Genomic DNA, 21,785 nt, shown 5'->3' on the forward strand with positions numbered 1-21,785 from the left:
CAATGAATCCATGCTCAGGGAATCCACTGGCCTTACCATGTTCCCCAACATCATGAAGTAACTGGTTTGACAGAACAGTGGGGTGGCATTTTGAAAACTCAATTGTAGCATCAGCTATGGAGCAATTCATACATGGATCGCCAGAAGGCTGTATATGCTCTGGGTCAATATGCAACATACAGTGCATTTTCTCCTATAGCCAAGGTGCATGGCTCTGAGAATGAGAGGGAGGAATGGAAGTGACATCATCCACTATTACCCCTATTGATCCACTAATACAATTTTTGCATCCTGTCCCCATAACCCTACGCTTTGCCAGTCTGGAGGTCTTAATCCAAAGAGAGGAATGCCTTCACCAGGAGACACAGCAATGATTCCACTGAACTCGAAGTTAAGACTGCCATTTGGCCACTTGAAGGTCCCCATGCCTCTGAATCAGCAGGCAAAGAAGGGGGTTTACTAGGCTGGCTGAGGTGAGCGATCCTAATTACCATGGAGAAACTGGACTGCTACTCTACAATAGAGGTATGGGAAAGTATGTCTGAAATACAGGAGCTATTTCAGATACGATGGGATATTTCAGATACGATGGGATAATATGATGGGATATCTTTTAGTACTGCATGTTCGGTGATTAAAGTCAACAGAAAATCACAACAATCCAATCTAGACAGGACTAGTAATCGCCTAGACTCTTCAGGAATGAAACTTTGGGTCATCCTACCAGGTCAAAAGCCATGACCAGTTGAGGTACTTGCTGAGGGTAAATGAATACAGAAGGGATAGTGGAAGAAGGTAGTTATAAATACCTGCTACAATTACGTGATCAGTTACAGAGACAAAAATTGTAATTTCTGGGATTATTACTTCCTTATTGTTTTATGAATACAGTTGTGTATCAAATATCTTTGTTTTCTTTCCTCTCTTATTGCTTTATCATATAAGATATAATGACTTTATTTCATAGCATTTAAGTATTGTTAACTCTACATTACAGTATTTCAGTTACAGAATAACAAGAAAAATGAACATCACCCAAGGACTTTACATTCTCTTTGGGGAAAAAGTACATTTTACGCAAGACAGTTGTACCGTTGGGTGGAAGCATGACTTTGTTATTGTCTTTGTTTGGAGATTAACTATTGTATTAATTTTCTAGCGTTGCCATAATAAAATACGACAAACTGGGGGTAGCTTAAACAACAGAACATTATTTCCTCATAGGTCTGGAGGCTAGATGTCCAAGATCAAGGTTTCAGCAGGTTTAGTTTCTTCAGAGACCTTTCTCCTTAGCTTGAGATGGCCATTTTCTCCCAGAGATTTCACATGGTCTTCCCTCTGTACGTGTCTGTATCCAAATTTCCTCTTCTTATAAGGAGACCTGTCATACTGAATTCGGGTCCACCCTAGTGACCTCATTTTAACTTAACTATCTCATTAAAGACCCTGTCTCCAAATACTGTCACATTCTGAGGTGCTGGAAGTTCAAACTTCAATATGCATTTTAATGGGATACAATTCAGCTTATAACAAGTATGTTTTTTTTTATTTTTGAGACGGAGTCTCGCTTCTGCCACCCAGGCTGGAGTGCAGTGGCGCGATCTCGGCTCACTGCAAGCTCCGCCTCCTGGGTTCACGCCATCCTCCTGCCTCAGCCTCCCGAGTAGCTGGGACTACAGGTGCCCGCCACCATGCCCGGCTAATTTTTTTTTTTGTATTTTTAGTAGAGACTGGGTTTCACCGTGCTAGCTAGGATGGTTTCGATCTCCTGACCTCGTGATCCACCTGCCTCGGCCTCCCAAACTGCTGGGATTACAGGCATAAGCCACCGCGCCTGGCCTATAACAAGTATGTTTTTAAAGAGATATGGTGGGTGCCAATGTAACAAGGCATAGACTATAATGGTTCATTTTATGTGTCAATTTGGCTAAGCTATGAGACTCAGTTGTTTGGTTAAACATCAGTATAGATGTTGCTGTGAAGACTTTTTTTTTTAGATGTGTTTAACATTTAGATCAGTAGACTTTGAGTAAAGCAGGTTACCCTCAATATGTGGGTGGATCTCATCCAACCACTTAAAGGCCAAAAAAAAAAAAAAAACCTGAGGTCCTAAAAAGAAATTCTGCCTCCAGACTGCCTTCAGACTCAAGACTGCAACATCAGCAATTTGGTGGGTTTCCAGCCTGTTGACCTACCCTGCAAATTTCATACTTGCTAGTCCCCATTTTGTGTGTGTATGTGTGTGTGTCCCCACATACTGTTGGTACTGTTTTTCTAGAGTACCCTGACTAATCCAATATATATGTATATATTCATATCTTATCAATATAGGTATAAATAAATTTATTTTATCATTCATTCTGTGCTCTCCTCTGTATCATAGAAGCTAAAAGCACGGAAACTACATTTTGCAAATGTCTTTGCCTTGGGGATTATAGATGTGACTTACATTCAGCCAATGCAATGCATTTCCACAGTATTTGGAAGGTGGAAGAGAGACATAAACCAGACCACTCTTCTTCTGATGGTGAAACTGGCTGTGCAAAAATTTTAACAGTGAGAAAATTATGACAATGAAAGGGATTCGACCTAACCAACTCCATCTTGCCTTTAGCCTCCAAACTGCCCTTGGTCATTCCTGGGCATGGGCCAAGATAACTTTGGGAGAAATTTATAGTTTAAATTATGATAGCCCTTTCCAAAAGTAAACTGCCTTTGTAAAACTAATGAAAAGTCACAAGGTTAGGAGTATAAGTGGCTGAATTCTTATATGATGCCAGCTACTGTTCCAGAGGTCACAAGATTTGCAACTTCCTCAATTACTCCTGAAATAACATTATTATTATAGAACCTAAGATTGGCTTTTTGAGATGTCTTTTCAGGCTTCTGCATTTCTGGTGACTGGATGGCCTCACCTGGATCTCCTTCGTGGCTCTCACCCAGGCGTGGACTCAGCACATGAGGACTATTTTCCCACACCCCATGACTGCATTCCCCAACCAATCACAGCATTCCCCATTCCCTAGCATCCTGCCCACCAAACTATTCTTGAAAAACCCTAGCCTCCAATAGAGGAGGCTGATCTGAGTACTAATACAACTCCAGTCTCTCATTTAACCAGCTCTATGTATATTAAATTCTTTCTCTTTTGCAATTTCCCTGTGTTGATAAATTGGGTTCATCTGGGCAGCTGGCAAGAAGAACCCATTGGGCAATTACAATGGCAATAAGCTTTGACAGACATGAGGCTTTACAGTGATCACCAAGTACGCCGCTGCCAGCTACCCATATTAGTACCAACAGGCAGGTACAATGATCAGCAGCAATGACTAACCTGAAAGCTAGGAATAGCTATCCATATCCATGCCTCCAGTTTTACCAATAAATTTATCACCATCTAATTCCCCTTGTTAATTTTCTTTTTGCTTGAAGTACCTGTAGTAATTTATTTTCCTCGACGAACCTGACCTGATAATTTTTTAAAATTAAACAATTAAAATATATTGTGTATTATAATAGATACTAGAATAAAAAATAGGAAGGAAGGAGTTGTCTGATATGTCACAAAAAAAGGTAAAATTTTAGATAGGATTGCCTGGAAAGGCCTTTAGGCTTCATTGAAATGACTCTGAGTCAAGACCTCAGTAACATGAGGGGGTGAGCAATTCAAATGACTAGAAGACCCTTCCAAGCAGAAAAGGAATAAGCAAGCACAGAGACTCTGAAGCAGGAGCATGTGGCACATCTAAAGAATAGCAAAGAGACTACTGTGGCAAGTGGAATAGGGAACAGTAGTGAGCAAAGAGAACAGAAATGTAACTAAGCTGCAAATCACGGAGACCTCAAAGAACAGAAGGACTTTAATTTTTTTACTCTGAATGAGATGGGAAGCTACTGCTGAAAGGAAAGCTGAGAAATGATAAGTTTTTACTTAAGTAGGATCATTTGGGCTACTAATTGAGAAGAGATTACAAAGTAGAATGCTATCACTATAATGCAGGCAACAGACAATGATGGCTTGCACAGGAACCGTAGTAGGAGATGTGATGAATAATGCCAAATTCTTTCTATACTTTGAATATGCAGCCAAAAGAATTTATTGATGAATCAGATATAAGGTGTAAATTTTTTAAAAAAGAGAGGCAGGAACTTAAGCAGAGTTTGTGCCCAAAGCAATTGAGAAAATGAAGGGGCCATTAGCAGGTATGCAATATATTGTGGGAAGACTTGGGGAAGAAAGGGATGGATATCAGGAGCTCCTTTTGGACTTGTTCACTTTGGGATACCAGTTAAGACATCTGAATACAGATATCAAGGAGGCAGCTGAACATGCAGATGTGAGGCTGACGGGGAAGAGGTCAGGCCAAAAAATGTAAACTAGGAGTTAGCATACGGATGGAATTTAAAACCATAACATTGAATGAGATAATTTTGGAAATCTCTGTAGACAGAAAAGAACCCAAGATCAGAGCGCTGAGGTGCTCCAGTATTAAAGAATCAATATTTATAAAATGAATGAATTAATGAATCCTGATTTTTTGTTTTCAACTTTCAGAATTACTCTATATATCTATGTAAAAAGAGATTTACTCTATATGAAAAACAAGACATACACAAAATAAAAATTATAAAATCACTAACTAAAAAAGGAAGCAAGATGACAAAAGGTAAAATTAATGATAAATGCCCTAAATTCCACACCTTTGATAACAGTTAAGAAACACTGCTAATAACAAAAAATCCTGGAAGGGGAAAGTGGCTGGGGGCTTAAAGTATAAGTACACCAATCTCTTCATCCTTTAGAGGTCAAAGTCAAAAACATTTAAATGATAATAAATCTGAGAATAGGGAAGCATTTTTTAAAAGCTAAAACAGTAATTAAAAGCAAACTTAATGGCAGTAGGCTGTAAGGAACAGGCTTCGAGAGAAGAAAGGTAGTCTTCTCTGCTGTTTTAAGTATTTTAAACAGTGTATATTGCTTCTGTTAATTTTTTAAAAGTTAAGTAACTTTTTTGTAAAAGAGTATGGCATTTGACAACCATATTGACTCATTTCTCAAAACTGCCAAACTAAAGCCAGGCCTGCATCCTAATTTAAATATAATTACTAGTTGAATTCAAAGTATAAAGAAGACAATGTTCTCTCTATTGTTCCTTTTGTTATCAGTACTCCAGAAGCTGGGGAACTGGTAGCTCATTGTCTATACTTACCCTAACAAAGTTCCTAGAGAAAGTAATTTTTATAAAACTTATTCTCTATTTGGGATTTACAAATAGTTATTTCAGTCACAGGGAAAAGGAAGGAGCACCTACTAGGCAAGGTTAATGGCTTTAATACATATCTAATCATAATAACCTTAAAATAATGATTGAATATTGAACATTCAATTATTCAGTAATGAATAGTGGCTTTCTCTTATGGCAACAAGTTTTATATGATAAATATGTGACTTCCTATCTCCCAGGATGTCCCAGGAGCTTTTCTGTTTTATTACACTCATATGTAACAAAAAAAGGATTCTCAGAAGCAAAAATGTGCCGGGTGTGGTGGCTCACACCTGTAATCCCAGCAGTTTGGGAGGCCTAGGCAGGTGGATCACCTGAGGTCAGGAGTTTGAGACCAGCCTGGCCAACATGGTGAAACCCCATCTCTTCCAAAAATACAAAAAAACTTGGCTGGGCGTGGTGGTGCATGCCTGTAATCCCAGCTACTCAGGAGGCTGAGGCAGGAGAAATCACTTGAACCCAGGAGGCAGAGGTTGCAGTGAGCCAAGATCATGCCATTGCTCTTCAGCCTGGGCAACAGAGCAAGACTCAATCTCAAAAAAGGCAAAAATGCTGAGCCATGAATACATTACACTTTTAAAGAAGAATATTACTGGAAGATGGCTGGGCGCGGTGGCTCATGCCTGAAATCCCAGCACTTTGGGAGGCTGAGGCAGGCAGATCACCTGAGATCAGGAGTTTGAGATCAGCCTGACCAACATGGTGAAACCCTGTCTCTACTAAAAATACAAAAATTAGCTGGGCATGGTGGCAGGTGCCTGTTATCCCAGCTACTCGCAAGGCTGAGGCAGGGGAATCGCTTGAACCTGGGAGGCGGAGGTTGCAGTGAGCCGAGATTGCGCCATCGCACTCCAGCCTGGGCAACAGAGCAAGACTCCATCTCAAAAAAAAAAAAAGAAGAATATTACTGGAAGACAACACTATATTCACATCACTTACCTTAATTTCACTCTGCAATTTTGACTAAAAAAAGAAGTCAGATTGTAAATAAGAACAAACTGGTTTAGCTAGTCTGAACTAATCTACACTATAGTAGTCATCAGCCATACCATATAAGGATGTTACAGTCAAGAACAGACTGCATGTATGGCAGTGGTCTCATTAAGATTTACTATGAAGCTGAAAATTTCCCATTGCCTAGTGACATCACAGCCATGGTGACATTGTCAGTTGCGTTTGAACCAGAGGGACTCCATCTTGAATAGGGACTGGGTAAAATAAGGCTGAGGCCTACTGGGCTGCATTCCCAGGAGGTGAGGCGTTCTAAGTCACAGAATGAGATAGGAGGTCTGCACAAGATACAGGTGATAAAGACCTTGCAGATAAAACAGGTTGTGATAAAAGAAGCTGGCCAAATCCCATCAAAACCGAGATGGCAATGAAAATAACCTCTGGTCATCCTCACTGTTTATTATATGCTAATTATAGTATAATGTATTAGCATACTAAAGATACTCTCACCAGCGCCTGACAGTTTACAAATGCCACGGCAACATCAGCAAGTTACCCTATATGGTCCAAAAAGGGAGGAACTCTCAGTTCTGGGAATTACCCACCCCTTTCCCAGAAAACTCATTAATAATCCACCCCCTATTTAGCATATAATCAAGAAGTAACAATAAGTATAAGTAGATGAGCAGCCCATGCTGCTGCTCTGCCTATGGAGTAGACATTCTTTATTCCTTTACTTTCTTAATAAACTTGCTTTCACTTTACTCTATGAATTCACCTCAAATTCTTTCTTGTGTGAGATCCAAGAACCCTCTCTTGGGGTCTGGATCAGGACCCCTTTCCAAAAACAAGGTCAATAGTGCAAAGCAGTACCTTTTCTATGCTTAGTCATGTTTAGACACAGAAATACCATTGTATTACAATTACCTACAACATTCTGTATAGTAAAACATGTTGTACAGATTTGTAGCCTAGGACCAATGGGCTATAGCATATAGCCTAGGTGTGTAGTAGGCTACACCACCTAGGTTTGTGTATTAATAAGTACACTCTCTGATACTCACATGACAAAATTGCCTAACGATACATTTCTCAAAATGTATGCCTGTTGTTAAGTGACCCATCACTGTATCTACAGTAGATTAAATCCTGAAAGAAAATCTAATATAATGAGAGATTATATACATGTGACAATTTCCAAATATCAAGCTAGTACCAACATCCTATTCATACGTACTTTGAAAGAAAAAAATCTAAGTGAATTGCTTGATTAAAGCAGTCTATTCCAAATGGCTTTCGTCAAAATTATTTCAAAATGGTATAGTACATATGCTTCCTAGAGTATACTAATATTTTGGCACCTATGAATTATGTTAATATTTCTTCCATTCTAATACTACCACTATAATAGTAAGAAAAGCAGAAAAATGATGATGATAATAATGGAAGACTGGAAGGCAAACAAAAAGTTGGACACTGATGGACAAGAAGGAAGTGGATTAGAGGTGTGCCGTGCAAGCTATCCCACTGTGTACAACTTTAGGAAGATGGATGAGGAAGACATGCAACAGGGGAGCAGAAGAAACAAACTGAACTAATAATATCAACTATCAGAGAGAAGGGGAAAAAGCACAGTAAGTTACCTAAAAATATAAGGGAAAAGGAGAGCAAAAAATCTAGACAACTCCCTTGATCTTGACTACTTTGGAGCACAAAGGTAGGTAGATATTCCCAAAAACACTGCCTCTTCCCAAAAAACTTCGTAAAAAGCCACTTTTCTCATAGACATTAAATACATACTACTGTGCTTACAGGTGTCTATTTCAAATTCATCATAATTTAGTTTCCATTTATTTAATGACTGCCTAACAGCACATTAAAGCCCAATAAATCACTTAAATTCTGAACTAGAAGGGTGTCCAAATACTTTTCATATCTCCAGATCTAGCAAATCTTATGAAAAACTTAAAACAGAGGTATTGTTTTAGACAGATATATATGTATATACCAATCATCCAACCCAGTGACAAGTTACTAATAAAATGCACAAAGAAAAATGTACTAAAGGTTTTCTTGATCTATTGTTTTATAAATACCTACTACTTATGTAGAGTCCAGGCAAAACTATATCATCAGCATTTTGCCCCGAGGAAACCAGAATACTAACATAAGTTCAATAAAAAACAAGAAATCATTACTATCAAAATTCTCAAGGTACAAAAGAAATTTCATTTCCCATTATCTCTGAACCAACCATTCATAAAATTTACAGTTTATAGACCTTAATACCTATTACTGCTTCACTGTCGGTTATATGTCTTTTGCAGGGCTCAAAACACATTCATCAAATATTATTTATGACTGGGTGCAGTGGCTCACGCCTGTAATCCCAGCACTTTGGGAGGCCGAGGCAGGCAGATCACCTGAGGTTGGGAGTTCGGGACCAGCCTGACCAACATGGAGAAACCCCATCTCTACTAAAAAATACAAAAATTAGCCAGGTGTAGTGGCGCATGCCTGTAATCCCAGCTACTCGTGAGGCTGAGGCAGGAGAATCGCTTGACCCCGGGAGCTGGAGGTTGTGGTGAGCCGAGATCATGCCACTGCACTCCAGCCTGGGCAACAAGAGTGAAACCCCATCTCAAAAAAAAAAAAAAAAATATATTTACCTCTTGCCATATAAGAAGCACTGTTCTAGATTCCGGACATACAGAAAACAAACATCATTGCTGTCATCCAGGAACTTAGTGTATAGCCAAGAGAAAATGAAGTAAACTGATTAGTATAATATACAATGTAATGTCCCTTAAACAAAGGTATGTACATGATGTTACCTAAACCAGTACATAGGGATATTAAATCCAGACTTCTGAGGGTGGTAGAGTGAGAGTCAAAACATTTAGGCAGATTAGGCATTTAGGTTGATTCCGTGTCTTCGCCATTATGAACAGCACTGCAAAGAACTTTCACATGCATGTGTCTTTATGGTACAGTGATTTATATTCCTCTGGGTATATACCCAGTAACGGGACTGCTGGGTCAAATAGTAGTTCTGCTTTTAGCTCTCTGAGGACTCACCATACTGCTTTCCACATGGCTGAGCTAATTTACATTCCCACCAACAGTGTATAAGTGTTCCCTTTTCTCTGCAACCTCAGCACCTGTTATTTTTTGACTTTTTAATAACAGCCATTCTGACTGGTGTGAGATGATTTTGATTTGCATTTCTCTAATGATCAGTGATACTGAGCTTTTTTTCATATGCTTGTGGGCCACAGGTATGTCTTCTTTCGAAAAGTGTCTGTTCATGTCTTTTGCTCACTTTTTAATAGGGTTGTTTTTCTCTTGTAAATTTATTTAAGTTCCTTATAGATGCTGGATATTAGACCTCTGTGAGGTACATAGTTAGCAAATATTTTCTCCCATTCTACAGGTTGTCTGTTTACTCTGCTGACAGTTTCTTTTGCTGTGCAGAAGCTCTTAAGCTTAATTAGATCCCACTTGTCAATTTTTGCTTTTGCTGCGATTGCTTCTGATGTCTTTGTCATAAAATCTTTGCCCGTTCCTATGTCCTGGATGGTATTACCTAGGTCGTCTGCCAGGGTTTATAGTTTTCGGTTTTACATTTAAGTCTTTAATTCACCTTGAGTTCATTTTTATATATGGTGTAAGGGGTCCAGCTCCAATCTTCTGCATATGGCTAGCCAGTTATCCCAGCATCATTTAACTTGTTAAATTTATTTTTATTTTGGGTTTGCTGGTACATGTGAAGGTTTGTTACATAGATAAACACATGTCATGGGGGTTCGTTGAACATATTATTACATCACCCAGGTATTAAGCTCAGTACCCAATAGTTATCTTTTCTGCTCCTCTACCTCATATAACCCTCCCCGCTCAAGTAGACCCCAGTGTCTGTTGTTTCCTTCTTTATGTTCACAAGTTCTTATCCTTTAACTCCCACTTATAAGAGAGAACATGCAGTATCTGTTTTTCTGTTCCTGAGTTAGTTTGCTAAAGAAGAGAGCCTCCAGCTCCACCCATGTTCTCACAAAAGACATGATCTAGTTCTTTTTTATGGCTGTATAATATTCCATGGTGTATATGTACATTTTCTTTTTTCAGTCTGTCACTGATGGGCATTTAGGTTGATTCCATATCTTTGTTACTGTGAACAGCCCAGCACAATTTATTGAATATAAAGTCTTTTTCCCATTGCTTGTTTTTGTCAGCTTTGTCAAAGACCAGATGGTTGTAGGTATGCAGCCTTATTTCTGGGCTCTCTATTCTGTTCCATTTGTCTATGTGTCTGTTTTTCTACAGGTTCCATACTGTTTTTGTTACTGTAACCCTGTAGCGTAGTTTGAAGTCAGGTAACGTGATGCCTCCAGCTTTGTTCTTTTTGCTTAGGATAGCTTTGGCTGCTGGGCTCTTTTTTGGTTCCACATGAATTTTAAAATAGTTTTTTTCTAGTTCTGTGAAGAATACTGATAGTAGTTTGATAGCAACAGCAATGAATCTGTAAATTGCTTTGGGCAGTATGGCCATTTCAATGATATTGATTCTTCCTATCCATGAGCATGGGAGGTTTTTCCATTTGTCTGCATCTTTTCTGATTTCTTTGAGCAGTGTTTTATAATTCTCATTATACAGATCTTTCACCTCCCCAGTTAGCTATATTCCTAGGTATCTTTTTTCTTTTTGTGGCAATTGTGAATGACACTGATGTGGCTCTTGGCTTGGCTGTTTTTGGTGTATAGGAATGCCACTGATATTTGTATATTGGTTTTGCATCCTTAAACTTTGCTGAACTTACCCAAAAGTCATTCAGCAGCATGCTGTTTAATTTTCATGTAATTGCATGGTTTTGAGGATTTTCTTAGTCTTGACTTCTATTTATATTGCACTGTGGTCCAAGAGCATGTTTGGTATGATTTTGGTTCGTTTGCATTTGCTGAGGATTGTTTTATATCCAATTATGTGATTGCTTTCAGAATTTTGAGGATTTTCTTAGTCTTGACTTCTATTTGTATTGCACTGTGGTCCAAGAGCGTGTTTGGTATGATTTTGGTTCGTTTGCATTTGCTAAGGATTGTTTTATATCCAATTATGTGATTGCTTTCGGAGTATGTTCCATGTGGAGATAAGAAGAATGTATATTCAGTTGTTTTAAGGTGGAAAGTTCCATAGAGGCCTGTCAGATCCATTTGATCTAATGTTGAGTTCAGGTCCTGAATATCTTTAACTTTCTGCCTTGATGACTTGTCTAATACTGTCAGTGGAGTGTTGAAGTCTCCCACTATTATCGTGCGGGAGTTTACATCTTTTTGTAGATTTCTAAGAACTTGCTTGATAAATCTGGGTGCTCCTGTGTTGGGTGCATATAAATTTAGGATAGTTAGGTCTTGCTCGATTGAACCCTTTACTAGTAATGCCCTTCTTTTTTTTTTTAATCTTTGTTGGTTTGAAGTCTGTTTTGTCTGAAATTAGGATTCTAACCCCTGGGTTTTTTTTTTTTTTTTTTTCCGGTTTTCTGTTTGTTTGGTAGATTCTCCTCCATCCCTTTATTTTGAGCCTATGAGTGTCATTACATGTGAGGTGAGTCTTTTGAAGACAGCATAGCACTGGGTCTTGCTTTTTTATCCAGTTTGTTGCTCTGTGCCTTTTAAGTGGGGCACTGAAGGTTAGTATTAATATGTGTGGATTTGATCCTGTCATTGTGTTGTTGGCTGGTTATTATGTTGGCTTGTTTGTGTGGTTGTCTTATAGTGTCACTAGTCTGTGTGTTTAAGTGTGTTTTTGTATTAGCTGGTAGTGGTCTTTCCTTTCTATATTTAGTGCTCCTTTCAAGATCTCTTGTAAGGCAGGCCTGGTGGTTAACAAATACCCTCAACATTTGCTTGTCTGAAAAGGATCTTTTTTTTGAGATAGAGTCTCACTGTTTCACCCAGGCCGGGCTGCAGTGGCGCGATCTCAGCTCACTGCAACCTCCGCCTCCCGGGTTCAAGCGATTCTCCTGCCTTAGCCTCCCAAGTAGCTGGGGCTACAGCTGCCTGCCACCACGCCCAGCTAATTTTTTTTTTTTTTGTATTTTTAGTAGAGACAGGTTTCACCATATTGGCCAGGCTGGTCTTGAACTCCTGACCTTGTGATCTACCCGCTTCAGCCTCCCAAAGTGCTGGGATTACAAGCATGAGCCGGCTAGAAATGAAATTCTTTGTTGAACAATTTTTTCTTTAAGTATGTTGTAGGCCCTCCTCAATCTCTTCTGGCTTGTAGGGTTTCAGCTGAGAGATCTGCTGTTAGCCTGATGGGGTTGCCTTTGCAGATGACCTACCTTTAACATTTTTTCTTTCATTTCAATCTTGGAAAATCTGATGATTATGTGTCTTGGGGATGATCTTCTTGTATAGAGTCTTTCAGGAGTTCTCTGCATTTCCTGAATTTGACTGTTGGCCTCTCTAGCAAAGCTGGGGAAGTTTTCATGGACAATATCCTGAAATATGTTCTGTAAGTCGTATGCTTTCCCTCCCTCCCTTTCAAAGACACCAATGATTCATAGATTTAGCCTCTTTACATAATCCCATACTTCTCGAAGCTTTTGTTCATTCCTTTTAACTCTTTTTTATGTTTGTCTATCTTATTTCAGACAGCCAGTCTTCAAGATCTGAGATTCTTTCCTCAGCCTGGTTTATTCTGTTGTTAATACTTGTGATTGCACTGTGAAATTCTTATACTGTGTTATTCAGCTCTGTCAGATTAATTAGGTTCTTTTTTATACCAGCAATTTTGTCCTTCAATTCCTGTATTGTTTTATTGTGATTCTTAGTTTCCTTGGATTGGATTTTTCTGTACTCCTGAATCTCAATGATATTCATTCCTATCCACGTTCTGAATTCTACTTCTGTCATTTCAGCCAGTTCAGCCTTGGTAAGAATTCTTGTTGCAGAAGTGGTACAGTCACTCGCAGGACACTCTGGCCATTTACTGGAGTTCTTGAGTTACTGGAGTTCTTGTATTGGTTCTTTCTCATCTCTGCATATGGGTGTTCCTTTAACTGTAGTGTAGATTAAGTAGTCAATAGACTTCTCTTTCAGACATTTTCACAGGGCCAAGGCTTTGTGCAGGATCTTTATTTCATGGAAGCTGATTTCTTATCTTTGGTTTCAGAGGGGTATGTTAGAGAGGTATTTTTGGTGTTGAAGTTGTGGACTGCGATCCAGCAGGTGGCACTCAGGTGTACTGGTCAGTTGGTAGAATCTTGCTCGGATGGGTGGCTCCGCAATTTCCTCACAATTGCAGCCACGTTCCCTCTCAACACTCTGAAAGTATAGGTATAGATTCCTCTTCCCCTTGAGTGCTGGTTGTAGATTGCAGCTTTGCACTCCTGGGCTGCCCACTGCAGTTCTGGGGTAATCTCAGTGTTTATGTTCCTTCCTCAACAAATTCCCTGAGCAGGGGAGGTTCCCCTGCCTCTGTGTCGCTTCTGGGTGGGCCTTCATCCTGTCTTGCTTTTCTCCATTCTCCATGGGTAGAGTTGTTTCCTTGATTAGTCTTGATGCATGTACTTGGATGATTCAGCTATTAACTCACCCCTTCCATTCCTCCCTGTGAGAGCCACACATATTAGCTGCTTCTAGTCAGCCATCTTGGTGACCCCCCCACTCCCACAATGTGTTCTACAATTAAGAAATATACTTCTAAATAACCTATGGATTGAAGAAGTAATCACAGTGGCAATTAAAAACATCAAAATATTAGCGAAATGATAATGAAATACTATAAGAACTGAGGTATGCAAAGAAAATGCATAGCTATAAAAGACAGGAAAATCAAACGGCTAATCATCCATTTCAAAAAATCTGAAAAAGCAGTGGAGAAGTTCAGGATTGCCACCCCAAAATACACTGCTATGGAATATTGATTATTTTGAGCTAAAGGTACTCTGACCTTCCTTTTTCTTCCTGAAAGCAGGAGATGAAACTCCCATGTGAAAAGTGCCCTCCTTGTGCCAGAGGAAAGAAAGACATTTTTAACACCAGGGATGAAAAATCAAGACCAAGAGAAATCTGCACACATAAACCTTAATAAACTAACCTTACCTTCCTAGCCTCTTCTCCACAATTAACTGTTCTAGTCAAAACTCCATATTCTTGTCACATTTTCACAATCTGATGCTCTTTGTGCTTCCTCGTATTATAAGTATTCAGCTCTAACTGCTTTTTTGTGTCTTTGTTTTTCTGGCATAAGACAGACTAACCAGAGAAAAGCGTATGACCCTAGAAGGGTGGAGGAAAACTTTGCCTCCCTAAAGCAGCAAATTAAACCCCAAAAAAGTAAAAGAAAGGACACAAAGAGCAGTAATAAATGTCAAAGAACACTAAAACACAAAAGAGAAAAAGCCAAAAGTTAGTTCTTTGAAAAGAATACAATTAATGAATACCAAGTGAGATTTAAAAAAGGTAAAAACAGACAGCAGAAATAACCAATAATATGGTTGATGAAGGAAACATAACAAATCCTCTCAACATTATGCCATCAATGTCAATGTCCCATTTCTTTCCTTTTCTTTTCTTTTCTTTTTTTTTTTTTTTGAGATGGAGACTAGCTCTGTTGTTCAGGCTGGAGTGCAGTGGCGCAGTATCGGCTCACCACAACCTCCACCTCCTGGGTTCAAGTGATTCTCCTGTCTCGCCTCCTGAGTAGCTGGGATTACAGCGTTATGTCACAGTGCCCAGCTAATTTTTGTATTTTTAGTAGCGATGGGGTTTCACCATGTTAGCCAGCCTGGTCTCGAACTCCTGACCTCAAGTGATCTGCCTGCCTCAGCCTCCCAAAGTGCTGGGATTACAGGCATGAGCCATCACGCCGGCCCAATGTTCCATTTCTTGATCTCATGGGTGCTTATATAAGGGTTGGCTTTGTGATGACACACCAAACTCCATATTTATGTATTGTACACATGTTTAAATATGTTCTCTTTACAATTAAAAAATGTAATCATTCTATAGCAAAAATAAACAAGAGGTGGGGGGTGTGGAGGTAAGAGGCCTTTTAGAGGACTCAAACTCCAAAAAATTTCAGACAAGGTCCTGAAAAACTTTTTATTACCTACTGTAAAGAAATTTTTAATTATAAAGATAAACTAATAGTGTTTCATCAACTGTGGTTTCACCATCTATGACTAATATTAAACATAAATGTTTATTAATGTATTCATTAATAAGTTTATTTTAAGAATGGTAACTAATATCTCGTACATATATATAAAAAACAGGCTATAATTTGCTAAAATAGATGACAATGATAAATTTTAAATACTTGGCTTTAAGAGCCTAAAAAAATCAAAATTCCGTTATGTACTAGTCCAGTTTTGCATTGCTATGAAGAAATGAGGCTGGGTAATTTATAAAGAAAAAAGGGTTAATTGGGTTCATAGTTCTACCGGTGATACAGAAGCATGGCTCTGGCATCTGCTCAGCTTCTGATGAGGCTTCACTGAGCTTTTACTCATGGTGGAAAGCAAAGTGGGAATGGGCGCATCACATGGCAAGAGTAGGAGCAAGAGAGAGAGGTGGGGAGGTGCCATACTCTTTCAAACAACCAGGTCTCATGTGAACTCAGAGCAAGAGCTCTCATTACCTAGGAGTGATTGGCCCCCATAATCCCATACTTCCCACCAGGCCCTACTGCCAACATTGGAGATCACATTTCAACATGAGATGTGGAGGGGACAAACATCTAAACCATATCATTCTGCTGGCGCCACTAATCTCATGTTCTACTCACACTGCAAAATACAATCATCCCTTCCCAATAGTCTCCCAAAGTCTTAAGTCATGCTGGCATCAACTCAATGAAAAGTCTGAAGTCTTATCCAAGACTCAAGTCAAATTCCTTCCACCTATGAGCCTGTAAAATCAAAACAAGTAACTTGATAGATCAAAACAAGATACATTGGTGGTTCAGGTATTAATCAGCCAAAAGAAAGGGGCAACAGGCCACAAGCAAGTCCAAAACCCAGCAGGGCAGACATTAAACCTTAAAACTCCAACATAATCCTTGACTTCATGTCCAGCAACCTTGTGTGAGGGGTGGGCTCCCAAGGCCTTGGGCAGCTCTACCACTGTGGCTTTGCAGGGTACAGCTCCCATGGCTGCTCTCACAGGTTGGACTTGAGTGCCTGCAGCTTTTCCAGGCTCAGGGTACAAGCTAACAGTAGATCTACCATTCTGGGGTCTGGAGGGTGGTGGCCCACTTTCCATAGTTCCACTAGGCAGTGCCCTAGAGGGGACTCTGTGTGGGAACTCCAACCCCACATTTCCCCTCCACACTGCCCTAGTAGAGGTTCTCTGTGAGGGCTCCACCCCTGAGGCAGGCTTAGCCTGGGCACCCAGGCTTTCTCATACATCCTCTAAAATCGAGGGGGAAGCTGCCAAGCCTCCTTTATACTTGCCCTCTTAACACCACATGGAAGCCACTAAAGCTTATGGCTTGCACCCTCCAAAGAAGCAGCCCAAGCTGTACCTGGGCCCCTTTGAGCCGAGGCTGGAGCTGGAGCAGCTAGAATGTGGGGAGGAGTGTCCTGATGCTAAGCAGGACAGTGGCACCCTGGGACAGGTCCCTGAAACCATTCTTCCCTTCCAGGCCTCTGGGCCTGTGATGGGAGAGGCTGCTTCTAAGATCTCTGGAAAAGGCTTTCAAGGTCTTTTTCCCATTGTCTTGGATATTAGCACTTGGCTCCCTTTTAGTCATGCTAATCACTCTAGCAAGTGGTTGCTCCACTGCCTGCTTGGATTCTTTCTCTATCACAGGGACAAACTCTAAATTTTCCGAATTTTTATGCTCTGCTACCCTTTAAGATAAGTTCCAACTTTAAGTTATTTGTTTGTTCCTGTACCTGATCACAGGCTGCCAGAAGCAGCCAAGCCATGTCTTGAATGCTTAGAAATGTCTTCCACCAGATACCTTAAGTCATTACTCTTAAGTTCGACCTTCCACAGAACCCTAGGATTTGGACACAATGCAGCCAGGCTCTTTCTTTGCTGGGGTGCAAAAGGGTGACCTTTACTCCAGTCCCCAACAAGTTCCTCATTTCCATCTGAGACCTCATCAGGCTAGCCTTCACTGTCCATATTTCTATCAGTATTTTGGTCACAACCGTTTATCCAGTATCTAAGAAATTCCAAACTTTCCCCCGTCTTCCTGTCTTCTTCTGAGCCCACCAAACACTTCCAATCACAGCCCATTACCCAGTTCCAAAGCTACTTCCACATCTTCAGGTATCTTTACAGCAACGCCCCACTCCTCAGTACCAATTTTTTGTATTATACTGTTCTTGCAGTGCTATAAATACATACCTGAATCTGGGTAATTTATAAAGAAAATATGTTTATTTTGGCTCATGGTCCCGCAGGCTGCACAGGAAGAATGGTGACCACATCCGCTTTTGGTGAGGGCCTCAGGAAGGTTACATCATGGGGAAGGTGAAGGGGAGCAGCATATCACATGGTGAGTAAGGGAACGGGTTAGGGGGAATGTCCCAGACTCTTTTAAACAACCAAATCTGCATGAACTGAGCAAGAACTCACTCATCACCAAGGAGATGGCGCTAAACCATTCATGAGGAATCTGCCCCCGTGATCCAATCACTTTCTACCAGGCTCCACTTCCAACAGTGGGAATCACATTTCAACATGAGATTTGGAGGGTACAAACATCCAAACCATATCAGTACAGAAGGAGCTTATTTAGTAAAACCACCAGAAACAAGAACAGCAGTTTCCCCTCTCACCTACCTCCCACAAACCCTCCTATAAAATATCTCAGAGACCAGAGATTATAACAACTTTGAATAAAAGGCTACAAAACCCAAAATAATGGTAACTTAATTGTTTTGAAAAGCTTTGTTATAACTTGCACAAATATTCTAAATGCCTTTACGTGAATGAACTTAAAAATGTATATTGATATCACGCTAGTTCCTTTAAAAAACAAAAAAGAAAGAAAGAAACAAGAGAATATGGACTCCATTTCTTCTCTAGTGCAGAGTTCTTTCTTCCTTGGCATGCAAAGTACTTCCAGTACAGAACTGGTCACACTGTATTTCTAAATATTTGTTTATCTATCTGCCTCCCCCCATTAGATCCAAGGCTCCATAAGGAAAATCAGTTTACACAAATTAATGTGAGCCTGGTATGGGTCAAGCACTACACTACTTTCTGGAGAATCAAAGTGTACAACACACACATGATTTATGACCTCATGGACCTTACATGAGGTTACAGGATGCTTCTCATAGGAAGTGATGTTTAAGTTGAGACCTAAAGGTTAACTGGCAGTTAGCCAAACAAAGTATGGCAAGAAACATATTCCAAGCAGAGAATACAAGTAAGTCATAAGGTGGAAGGTCACTCCTATATTCTTTATTTCCACTAGCACTACACATTGCATAGTAAATGTGTTCCATCAGAGATAATGAGATGATGGGGAAAGAAAGGTGTGACAAGACGGAGGAATGAAAGAAAAAAAAATTAAGTCAATATAGGAGCAGGCCTATTATATCCAAGTTTGTGTGTTTTAGATTGACAATTTGCATTTAAATATGCTATTTAATTAGGCCTTTATAAAAATGAAAAATAACCACTAATCAAGGGTCCACCCAATAGTTGCTTCCCATGATGCTCTAAAGTACTGTGGAAGAGAAGCAATTTGAGCAGGTAAAATTTTGACATTCTTCTGCTCTACAAGAAAGTGCTCAAAAGAATAATGTATCAGAAAGAGCAAAGTATCTATTTCCATCACCTTACTTATCCAGCCATTTTCTTCCTAAAAGCACTTCTTATATTTTAAGAATCCAACAGCAGGGTCCAAATCTTTCTTACACCCACTAACTCACCACTCAGCATAGTGTGAATAATAATACTCTCAACTGTTCAAAACACATACCTTGGGTTTCCACAACAGTCAAAACTCAATTCCTAATTATGCAAACATATTGTGACTATAAAGGGGCGTAAATAACAAGACTAATGTTTCTCCCTACCAAAATAAGTGTATTAAAAAGTGATGTATGCTACGTGGAGAAACCGGAACTTGTGTGCCCTGCAGGTGGGAATGTAAAATGGTACAGCCACTGCGGAAAACAGTATGACGGTTCCTCAAAAGATTAAAAAACAGAATTACTATATGATCCAGCAATTCCACTTCTAGGTAAGTAAACAAAAGAAATGAAAGTAGAGTCTTGAAGAGACATTTGTACACCCATGTTCACAGCAGAATTATTCACAATAACTAAAATGTGGAAACAACCCATCAACAAATGAAGGCACAAGCAAAATGTGGTATATACATACAATGGAATATTGTTCAGCCTTTAAAAGGAAGGAGATTCTGACATATGCTACACCATGAATAGACATTGAGGACATTATGCTAAGTGAAATAAGCCAGTCACAAAATGGCAAATACTCTATGATTCCACTTTTATGATGTATCTACAATAGCCAAAATTGTAGAGACAGAAAGTGGAATGATGATCGCCAGGGGACAGGGGGAGGAGAGAATGGAGAGTTATTGTTTAATGGACATACAGTTTCAATTCTGCAAGACGAAGAGTTCTGGAAATGGATGATACTGATGTTTATACAATATAAATGTACACAATACCAATGAACTTTATACTAAAGAAGGGTTAAGATGATTTAAGATGATTTATTTTACCATAATAAAATAATTGGGGAAAAAAGTAAATTTTTTGTCTGGAAATACACAATTAGAGATCAAACTGAGGACATATTAACTTGCCTCAAACACAACAAATTGGTCTGGTGACATTTAGAATGAAATCAATTGTAATACTGTGATCCCCTTCCATGATGTGCTGATTATTCACACTGAGTCACTTAAAAATTAATGCTCTCATCTCATTTGTGAATAAATGAACCTGTCTTTCCTTCTAATAGGTTAATCTTTGAAGTAAAATAGACTACAAGGACAACTCATGAATTAACTAGTTCTAGAACTCAAAGTTTTAAAAGAGAAAAAAAGTTCTTCAATAAAATCCAAAAAATGAAAAAAAAAAAAGTGATATGATGCTATGGTTTAGATATAGTTTGCCTGTCCCTACCAAATCCCATTTTGAAATTTGATCCCTAGTGTGGTGGTGTTGAGAGGTGGTCCTGGTGGGAGGTGTTAGGATCATGGGGGCAGATTCTTCATGAATGTCTTGGTGCCATTCTCTCAGTAATGAGTTCTCACTCTGGCAAGATGGGATGAGTTCTCAAGGGAATAAGTCAGTTCCCAGTAAAGTGGGTTGCTATAAAGCCAGGACACCCTTTAGGTTTGGTATCTCTTCACATGTGCCTGCTTTCCCTTTGACCTTCTCTGTCATGTTCTGATGTGGCACCAAAGTTCTCACCAGAAGCTGAGCAGATGTCAATGCCATGCTTCCTGTGCAGCCTGAAGAATAATGAGCTAAACAAACCTCTTTTCTTTATAAATCACCCAGCCTCAAGCATTATTTTACAGAAACACAAAATGAACTAAGACATATGATAAATAGACAAGGTCCTAAGCCAATAGTGTTAAAAGTACTAAAATATAGTAAATTCCTATATTTATTTATTTAGAGGCAAGATGTCACTGTCACCCAGATTGGAGTGCAATGGTGTGATCTCAGCTCACTGTGAATGAGCTCAAGTGATCTTCCTACCTCAGCCTCCCAAGTAGCTGCGACTACAGGCGCATACCACCACGCCTGGCTAATTTTTGTATTTTTTGTAGAGACGGGGTCTTGCCCTGTTTCCCCAGCTAGTCCTGAACTCCTGGGATAAAGTGATCTGTCCGCCTCAGCTTCCCAAAGTGATAGGATTACAGGCATGAGCCACCATGCCCAGCCAGGTTCCTATCTAGAGTTTCCAGTAAGAAATTGTTATTTCTACTGTGTTAACCTGTATTATCTGCTCAAAAATTAACCATAAACTTATTTTTATATTTTTTAGAGGAAAACAAAATTTAAAGGAGAGTAGGGAAGGAAAGTTTACTGTTTTGTTCTTTCCACATTTCTAAAGTATTCTTCTTCCCTGAAACCAAGGCTAATGGAAGAATAAGGGTGGAGTTCACAGAGAATGTAGCAGCTATCCATAGAGTCAAAGGGAAAATTTAGAGCACTTAAACAACAGGTATTTTATAAAAAGTCAATTCCTCACTGCTATGAACTTGAATATTTATGTCCTCTCCAGTATTTGTATCTTCTCCAAGATTCACATGCTGAAATCCTAATCCCCAATGTGATGACATGTGGAGATAGGGCCTTGGGGAGGTAATCATGTCATGAGGGTGGAGCCCTCATGCTGGGATTAGTGCCCTTATAAGAAGAGATACAAGAGAGCTTGCTTCCCCTCTGTTTCCACCATGTGAGGACTCAGCAAGATGACACCTGTCTGCAAGCCAGGAAGACAGCCCTCACTGGAACCTGACCATGCTGGCACCCTGCTCTCAGACTTTCCAGCCCCCAGAACTGTAGAAAATAAATGTGTTGTTTAAGCC

General features: G+C 39.6%; 1 protein-coding gene across 16 annotated transcripts in view, besides 1 other annotated feature; it reads right to left on the minus strand.

Annotated features, from left to right (window-relative positions):
• Positions 1–21,785, minus strand: part of OSBPL8 (oxysterol binding protein like 8) — a 207,975-nt gene that overhangs the window by 150,206 nt on the left and 35,984 nt on the right. The window lies entirely within an intron of this gene.
• Positions 17,611–17,760: an enhancer, noted in NCBI's record as "active region_6677". NCBI's record gives its function as "activates an Ori minimal core promoter by ATAC-STARR-seq in GM12878 lymphoblastoid cells {active_cell/tissue: GM12878}" and the evidence as "EXISTENCE:reporter gene assay evidence [ECO:0000049][PMID:35858748]".

This window comes from Homo sapiens, chromosome 12, assembly GCF_000001405.40.
Source record: "Homo sapiens chromosome 12, GRCh38.p14 Primary Assembly".
NCBI classification, from domain to species: domain Eukaryota; kingdom Metazoa; phylum Chordata; class Mammalia; order Primates; family Hominidae; genus Homo; species Homo sapiens.